General features: G+C 34.9%; 1 long non-coding RNA gene across 1 annotated transcript in view; it reads right to left on the bottom strand.

The window, feature by feature from the left end:
• The window catches only part of DIRC1 (disrupted in renal carcinoma 1), a 56,386-nt gene extending 46,985 nt beyond the window's left edge, over positions 1-9,401 (bottom strand). Inside the window, exon 1 of the long non-coding RNA NR_161166.1 lies at positions 9,141-9,401. This is a non-coding gene — a long non-coding RNA (disrupted in renal carcinoma 1). The remainder of the gene's footprint in view (positions 1-9,140) is intronic.

Consider the following 10,219-nt stretch of genomic DNA (forward strand, 5'->3'; position numbering starts at 1 on the left):
AATAATTTCAAATTTAGGGACAATTAAGAAAAACATTTCTTGATGGTAGGAAAAATAGACTTAAGTTAGAAGATAATGCTGTATGTAAATCTAGATATTTAGATTGCTAAATAATTCCATTTGGACAGAATCGTGAGTTTTAAATTTGCTAATCATATGAAAAAATAGCTAGAGTGTGAGTTGATTTTTGCTTTCCTATTAGTGAACAGTGTGATTTTATTGCTTAAAAATTAATGAAAGTTTATGTTGCATTTGTAGTCATGTTGAGAACAGAGGTCATTATTTCAAGAAACGAGATGTCGCCAGAATCACTGCAGCAACTTTCAAAGTCATAAAATGATTCCCTGTCTTATTAGTGTCCCCTCTAATTCATTTTCCACAACCATGGAATGACATTTTGAAATTTGCATATGAAGTTCTCCAATTTAAAATCAGCCTATGGTTTCCTAATACTGTAGGCAAAAGTGTCCATGTTATCAGCATGACATACACATCCCCTTCCGGTAAGACTCCTGTTAAATCTCCTGGCCTTATCTATGTCCATTCCCCCTGCTCCCTCTCACCCTGGACACCAGTCATGACATACTATCTTGTCACACCTGGCTGTCTCAGTTCTTCATGTCTTTACCATAGTGCATCCTCTTCCAGGATTTGCCTCATCATTCTGTTCCAGTCCTCATTCTTGACTTAGTATGCTTAAAGTAATCCTTATTATCTTTGGAGACGCAACTTAATCACTACCTGCTCTAAGAGCTACTTTGTGATAGTTAACCACTCTTTCCTTTCAATATGCCCTTTCTTAGTATCTGCAACATATTATTTTCTGACTACTGGTTTATAAGCGTCTTTTAGATATCATGTCTGTCTCACTTTTTGTATCCCCAGCATCCAGCTTATTCTCAAGGACATACTTAGCACTAAGTAAGTGGTGAGTGGATGGATATGTGTTTTAAGATAAATGAATGCATAAATCAATTCTATGTAATATCAGTGGGTAGTACCAAAGAGTGTAAGTTGGGCAGAGCAAATTTTGCCGTAAATTGTTAACTATAAAAGTATTTTATAAAAAGAAAGGATATTTATCTGGCAGTTACATTGTAGAAAAGATTGCTTCACTGGGTGAGGGATTGGATTGGATAGTATCTAAATAATAATCATCATAACATACTATTAGCAATGGCTTTATTCCTTTATCACCTCCCACAACAATTAATGAATGCTTATTACGGGCCAGGGACTGTGCTAAGTATTTTAAAAAATGATCTCATTTACCAGAAAAAAAAGGAGTGGGTCCTCAGATATATATATTGACTTGTTTTTGGTGTAGCATGACTGAGTAAAAAGAAATTTAATTCCATCTATTTCTAAACTTTTGTGTTTCCAACTATTTTGCCACATCCCTGCATTCCTATAACAGCTTAGATCCAGAGCCCTGACACCACAGAATCTCTCACCTGATGACTGTGTAGCACAAAACACTGAGTAAACTAGGGCTAAGACTTAGGCCAAGGTCAAGGGAAAAGGAAAAATGAGAGGGCATCATGAAACTAATATGGATTCTTGAAATTCAGAGATTTGGAGGAAGAGGAACAGGAGCTGAGAGATTCAGGTTAGTGAGAGAGAGCAAAAGGTCTACACCTTTTGATGGAGCTAGCTGAGCAACCTTTAACCGCTTAAAAAAAATAAAGAGCAGTTTTTCTTCCAGATTTCAGCAACAAATAGGTCTCCTTGATCCCTCTCATCCATTTGGTACCACTCCCAATCCCACTCATTTTACCTACACCCTCTTGTCTAAAATTCTTTTAACTAGAGAGAAAGCTTTTCAGTTTACAATAAAACATAAAAGTTAGGGAATTATGCCTTGGTCCCACAATAATCCTTAAAGTTATTACATTATAAATATCCAAATGTTGTGTTTTATTTTTTTCCAGAAAGTAAAATGATTGCCAGACTGTACAACATAATGTCCTGGATACATTTATAGTATATTTGTCTTCTTTCCTCTTGTGTTAGCCTAGAGCATAAATAGAAGAAATTTGAGTTTGAGACCAAGCTTTGGAAGTAGTAAGAAAGGAGTACATTAGACCATGAGATATAATGAAAGTGAATCTTCCAAATGCCCTTATTGCCACTCCAACTGAGGCAAGAAATAATATGCCTTGGAGAAAGATTTCAGAGAAAGGCATATAATTCATTAGGACTCAGTCACAGTTCTTGTTACTCAACCCCACTAGAAATTCCATCCTTCCTTTCCCAATCATGATACTCTTTGCTGCTCCCATCTCTCCTTTAAATGACACCCATACTTAGCTCCATAATAAACTTTCTTTACCAGGGCATGGTTATATTAGAACCTTCTTTTTAGTAATACTTATCATTGTTTAAAAATTTTATTTTTTATACTTCAAATTATATTGGCTTTAATTTAAACTAGATCCCAACTCATTCCGAGGTGAATGAGAAAAGGAAAATATGACTGTTGTTTTCTACTTCCCAATAGTTTGTAAATCTCACCATGCGGTAATATCTGATTTTTTTAAAAGAGTTTTTTTTGCTAACAAAGTATAAACTACCAAATATCAAAGTGATTCTAGATATTTGTAACAGATTACTTAGAAAATTCTGTTGTATTTTTTCCTGTCAGAATATCCTGGAGTCATAAGCTTTATTTAATTACAATTTTGACAGTGTGTAACATTTTATATACTCTTTGCTGTTCCCATCTCTCCTTTAAATGACACTCATACTAATCTGGGTGTCATTTTATTTGTTTATTTATTTATTTATTTATTTATTTATAGATTGAGTTTCGCTCTTGTTGCCCAGGCTGGAGTGCAATGGTGAGATTTCGGCTCACTGCAACCTCCACCTGCTGGGTTCAAGCGATTCTCCTGCCTCAGCCTCCCGAGTAGCTGGGATTACAGGCATGCACCACCACACCTGGCTAATTTTGTATTTTTAGTTGGGACAGGGTTTCTCCATGTTGGTCAGGCTGGTCTTGAACTCCCGATCTCAGGTGATACCCCCGCCGCCTCGGCCTCCCAAAGTGCTGAGATTACAGGCATGAGCCACCGCACCCGGCCTTGCTGGGTGTCATTTATATGACAATATCAGTAGATAGAAAAGTTCATGTTGACCAGTAAATTTATCTGTGGATGTTAAATATCATTTTTGGAAATATGAGGTATAATGCATAGAGTACTGTTTTTAAATATAGTCATGTTTCAGCATGACTATGGACAAAATTCAACATCTCATATAAAGGAATTCAGTTTGGTCTGACTAATATAGTTATCTTTGTGCCACATAACACAACTCTCAATCCAAAAGTCAACATCTCACATGCTTATTCTAGTTCTCATGACCCTCAGTTCTAGCTAAGATCAAAAGGATTATGTGTGGATGCAAATAGACTTAAGTAGTGAAATTATTTTTTAAAGGAAATCTCTAACAGAAATCAAAAGATAATTTTTTTGTAATGATGTAATGTCTGACTCAGCTGAACCTGCAGTATTCTACCTGCAAAGTAACTACAATAAAAGAAGACAGAGAGGCCCCATTTCCCCATGAGATATCTTGGTGTACAACTACTTTATTAACTGGCTTTAATGTGCACATTGGTTCCCCGAAAATAAACATCTATTTCAGGTTTGGAGATGTGATGTGCTCCCCTTCAGGTTCTGACTGACAAAGCCAACTGGAAAATGGGGCCTCACTGACTCAGGCTCTAATTCTGGAGAGTTTCACTGTTGTTGGAATAAAAATCATCAGAGAATAAAAGTCAAATGCAAAAATATTCTTTGACACTCTAGAGCAATCCTAGAGGTTACTGGAGGTAGTAATGTTGTATATGCTTCTTAGGACCCATAATGAAAATATGTGCCTAAGAGTTTATGTATTTTACATTAATTGATCAAAGTGTCATAATCCAAATATATCTTTCTAAGTTTTCATAATATTTTTAAGATTTCAAGTAATTCAAATGTTAAGATTTCTCTTTGAATTTCTTAACTTAATAAACTTATTCAATAGCCTATTAAACAGAAGACACTCTAGGGTTCCAAGAGGATAAATATATAGCCAGCTTCTAGAAACTTATAGCCTATTCAAATCAACTACATAAAATCATACTAACATAATTACTCGCTTAAACTAGATATATAAAGATAATATAGTATTTGATTCTTTGTTCATAACAAATAGAGCTCTATAAAGTTTGATTGCCAGCTATTCTTTTTTTCTTAAAGATCAAAGATTCACATTTCTAATATTTCTCAGTTATTCAATATCCATGAACGGTTAAAAGACATGAAAATGAATTTTTTTATTTTTTGAATTTTTTATTTACAATTTTAAGTTCAGGAGTGCATGTGCAGGATGTGCAGGTTTGTTACATAGAGGGGCCTGTTGGAGGGTTGGGGGTGGGAGGAGGGAAAGAGTCAGGAAGAATAGCTAATGGATGCTGGGCTTAATACTTGGGAAATAAGTCTAAAATATGTGTAGTCCTTTAATGATACTCTTGAGGACAGTACCGAGCCATCACTTTTAGATGACTAAACACATGTCTGAAGTTCAGAGACTGACATAAACCAGCCCTTAATTTTTTCCCCAGCAACATAATCATCCATACCATGATCACATCAGATGGGCAACAGAGACCACCTTATCTCTTTGGTCACCTTCTTTCTTCTTCCATCTTCTCGGTCTTCTCAGATTACAATTATTTGCTTTTTAAACTACTCGAAGTATATTACCTTAGAAACACAATTTGTAAATATTTAGGGGTTCTAATTTTAATTTCCAAGCATCCTTCAATGATTGGATAATATATTTTCCTATGTAACCCAAATGTTCCAAATCCTCTTGCTTTCATCTAATGTAATTGTATCAAGTCCAGAAGCCTTGGCCGTAATTCCAGGGATTACGGAGATACATATTTTTTCTCTTGTTCACTCCTCTCTCTTCTGAACTTCTGGCTTTTCTTTAATCACCACTGCCTCATTGCTCATTTGCTCATGCCGGGTGTTGTCCTCTCTCTTTACCACTTGGTCCCAAGTTGGAACGTAAACCGTCCCTAAGGCTCTATTAACACACAGCTATCGTGTGTGTCTGATGGCACTGAAGCCTTTGGAGATGATGGAGGAGAATCACAACATAGGACATGAAATAATCTAAAGCTGGGTATAGGTATCATGTTTCTTAAGTTTTCTGGTCATGCCCATAAAAGAGAGCTCTTTTGTGCCTGTCCTTCTCCTTAGGTATAAGCTTCCTCTGGTGGCTCTGGGGCCTGGTCACTCAGAACTGAACAACGCCCACTACTCGCCATCCCTACTCCCCACCCCACTAAACAGTAATTTGTGGAATAAATCAAACAAAACCAAAACATTCTCTCTCCAAGGTTAATACCTTTTACTTCACTATCCAGGGAATTAGTGTATTTTCTTAACTTTTCCCTGTAGATGCTTCACTTTCTGTAACTGAAAAGCCTACTAACTCCCCTAAATACAAGAACAACATTCACCAGAAGTAAATTTTGTCACGACATAAGATGGAAAGAATATACAGACAATGCTTTGTGATTTTTTAATTTACATTTTTCCCTCCTCTTTTGACATGAATTTGCATTTCTGTGTTTGCATAATCTCTATTTCTCTACTCAGAATTTCTAAGAAATGATAATCTTCTCTGGGAAAGAATGGTAGCCAGGAAATCATCTGAAATAAAAGTGAGTCACTTGGAAGTGAAGGACTGGCCCGACTGGGAGGAGTTAATTACACATGACACAAGGGAAACGCAAACCCAAACTTCATATTGGTCTGAGTGAGAGGAGTTAGTTAATTATAGTTGAAACAGGGGAAACTCAAACCCAAACTTTATACTGAGAGCTTTGAGCGCCCTTGTCATTAATAACTAGGCTAACAAATATATGAACATATCTACAGGCTCCTAGCTTTTTGTCTTTGAGCCCAGAGTTGAAAATAAATCCTTGGCAGTGATCCATTTGCTTCCATCTCTGTGTACCAACTTCATTTGTCAGAGTTCCCAAGCCAAAGTGATCTCCAAATCAAAAGGCAATACCCCAGGTCAAAAAGCTGCAATCACAAAAAGCTACTTTTAGCTCCAGAATTTTCTCCTCTTTCCCCGTTTCCCCAGATCCCTCCAGTTTTTCTTTTTGTCTCTGTCCATTTCTCTTTTTTTTTTTCCCATTTCTCCACTCTCTGTTTCCTAACACATGGTTTTAAATTGAGATTAAAGAGAACAAAAAGGAAGGCTGCAATGTTCATTGTCCTTTTCTTCCGTAGGATAGACATTTATACCACACTTTACAACATTTTCCCAGCTCCAGTAGGTTTTCTTTTTTCATGACAACTTTGTAAAACTGCATTCCTAAGGAAGTTCATCACTGTTTTTTATTGCATGCTCTTGAAATTTTCCAGAACCCTTACCAGAAGAGGCTTCAGTAAATGGAGTTAGCATTTGAGCTCTACAGAGTCAGAGTCAAAAATAACAGTAGTCACGTGGTCAACAATATTTATACGATACTTAATCGTCTGAGCTCACAAGATAAAGAGCAGGCATTTCACTGTTCATAACATGTTCAGAAAAAGTGGGTTTGTAACAAGGTTTTTAATACCTGTCACTTGCAGGAATGCTAGGTTCTTCTCAAAGGAGAATTCTACATTGATTTAAACTCATTGACATACAAAGTATGCATCATGGATATATGTGATTTTACATAACTACATAGACGTCATAACGGACCTATGTCCCCTTTCTTCACACAGAAGTAGCTCTGCCTCTAGGCAGCATTGCTCACATTATGAGAAGCAAAATTACTATCTTTTTTTCAAAAATGTTCATAAAGTAATTAAAGTAAGTAGAAAAATTCAACTTATAGTTTGGAGACTCTTGCAGAGATAGGTAAATTTTTTGAACTTTTAGAATAGGATTTATGTCTGTGTTGCTTTTCTGAGATCTGAAATGAATGTGTGTGTGTGTGTGTGTGTGTGTGTTTCCAAAGAGCTAACGTGGCATATCTTCATCCTCAGATTCACTTTTGCCCTTGGACTCTTTCTCACCCTTCTCCTCCTTAGGGAGACAGGGGAAACAAAAGTACTGTTTCAGCCAACTGACTTTATTAAAGCTTTCTCATCTACGAGGCATGAGAATATGTTTGTGAATCTGTTTCTCTTTTGTTTGGCAGTGAGAAGTGCAATTGCTCTTTAATTAGAACCTTCTGTGTACCATAAATATGGTTTAACCCAGGTGTTTAATCTACCTCCAATGCAAGTGCAAATTGGTGACATGAGTCAAATGACAATTTTATTTAATTATCAGACAAGTTAGGAATAGCTAAACGCCAGCCACCATCAATTCACTGAGTTAAGGATCTTTGCTAATAATTACAGCAAAAGAGAGGGGAGTAATAAAGGGAGTGTACTGGAAATCACAGTAGACAAGATCATGAGACTAAATGCTAGACTTGATGATTCTGACAATATTTATCTGTATGGGAATGGCCAAATCTTTTAAGATTATTGGAACTTGGTATTCTTATCTGTAAAAATTAGGACTATTATTTCTAAAATATTTCACCATATAACTTATAAGATTATACCCAGCTCTCAGATCCTGTAATTCTAATCAACACATAGAAAGACATGAAAAAACAGAAAGAAGTAGACGAATATTTATTAGGTCGGCTATTGTAAGAATTTATGGATTTAAGAAACCCATATTCAGTCTTCACTTTATCACTGATGTTTTGTTTTCATGTCATTTTAGTAAAAATGTTTGCTGATATTGTCAAGGGATTTCCTAGCTAAAATATAATTAAAAGATCTCTCAGTGTCATTTCTCTTCTAATTGCAGTTCCATCACATTAATCTCCTACAACTAACTGAAAATAGCAATGTCATTCACAAATACAAAGAAATATGTCTAATCAAACTTCATTGAAATAACACAATTACCTCCTTTCCCTAATGTTTGGCTGTAAGCAAAATCCAAGAGCTGTATCTTTTATTTTTCTTTGTGTTAGTTCCTGTTCATGTGTGGGAGAACATTGGTCAGTGACTCACATTACTGACACACAGCCAGCACAGCTGGATAGGCACAGAATGCATTTCATAATAAAAGGGACAAAGAAAGAAAGATAGAGAAAAAAGTTTATGTGTTTGGTTTATTTTAAAAATCTATACAGCTTAATGCTAAAAAGCAAGAACCAAATTTTTCTAAACAAACAGCTTCAAGGAAAAATAATTTTGGAGGGACTAATTAAAATTACTTTAAGAACTCTTAATATGTAAAATACTTCTTTAAGGCAGCTATTCCCTGTGGAAATCTTACCCTCTCCCATGAAAAAGAACCAGCAATTTATGACTGTCATGAGAGTAAAACTCTAGTGAGAATTTAGAAGTACACACAATAAAATAAAAATACTCCACAATAGTTTTGAACTCTTGAAGAAAATGACAGGAATAGTATTATGTGTAACCAAATATATATATATACACACACATATATATACGTATATATACATATATACGTATATATATACACATATATACGTATATATACATATATACGTATATATATACACATATATACGTATATATACACATATATACGTATATATACACATATATACGTATATATACACATATATACGTATATATACACATATATACGTATATATACATATATATACGTATATATACACACATATATATACACATATATATATATATACTCAGAAATATCTGCACTCCAGCTTTGAAAATGTGAGTTAGCTGACACATAACAATGTCAAAGAAGACACATTTTTACAGAAGAACTTTCCTTAAATAAAATAACATTTCCCAATCCATTAAATGTAAATGACATAGTCACTTATCATATATTTTGTCTATGCTGTATAGAAGTTAAATTAAGTTGTTCGCTGTATACTTAAAACTAAAGGTTTTAGGATATGAGGTACTTTACAGCATGTCTATTATCACTAGTAAGAAAAGACTCTATAAATGTAAAAGGAAAGATCACTTCTTCAGACTATGTTAATAGAGTAGACTGTCCTGGCCTAAAATCTTATGATTGAGAAATGAGTGCCATAGCCAACCCACCATTTTGACAGAGCTCACCTGAATTTTTCCTTCTGGTGATGAGAAGCAATGCCAGAATTTCTACTCCAGCCATCTTCACACTTGTGGAGAGAAATTCAATAGTGATACATTTGTAGTGAGGAGAAAGATGTGTTAGCTTAACAACTGATGCAGGGTCTATCTTTTAAGGAAGATATTGTGTTTGTGGAGGAAAACATCTTGGAAGGTATTTAGAAGTGGAAAGTAAGACTTTAAGGGCAAGAGAAACTCTGCCCATGTCAAGAGACACAACTAAACTGCTTTGTATTTGGAAATCAATAGGAATTTGGAGAGAGAAACTAAAAACATGAGTAATCAACAAAAGATGATTTAACCTACATGATCGGAATCTGAAGCCCAAGATTTGGAAGGAGAGAGGGAACTTTAGGAACATCAATATCTAACATAGAATATTACATCTTGAGCCTTTTGGCAGTGTAAATCTCTACATCCCCTATAACTCAGTAGTCCTTTACACATATAAGAGTTTCTATAAGTAGTTTGGCATAACTAAGAAAAAGTATAGTGATCCACATCTAAAACAATATAATGCAAAACATAATAATACATATTGGACATTTAGATTATCCCTAAACTGATTCACACTAAGCAGGACTTAAGAGCTGAAAGTGATCATAAATTCTGATGAAATTTGAAAATTCTTGAGATACAGGTTGAACTCAGTGGAAAATACATTGAATCAATCTTACTGATCTCAAAAGGCAGGGAAATGCTGTTGAAATTTAGTTTACATAATTATTTTCTCTTTTTCTGGCTGTCCTTAAAGCTAACACTTGGCATGATACTAAAAACATTGTTTTAAGAGAAAATCTATTGTGGACAAATACAAGCTTTAGGAATAAATTAAAATGTTTAGAGGAATTAACACATCTGTGTAAAATTTTACATGTGTGCCAAACTGGTCCCCAAGCTAAAACTAGTGACATATTAAAACCCAACATATTAGCTCACACATTTACAATGAAATACAACACTTTTCGTAATACTATAGTTTGTGACAGTTCAAGAAGTGATGAATTGGAAAACATGCTATGATAGGCATGGGCAATTTAGAGCTC

The sequence above is a fragment of the Homo sapiens genome, chromosome 2 (genome assembly GCF_000001405.40).
Source record: "Homo sapiens chromosome 2, GRCh38.p14 Primary Assembly".
NCBI lineage: Eukaryota > Metazoa > Chordata > Mammalia > Primates > Hominidae > Homo > Homo sapiens.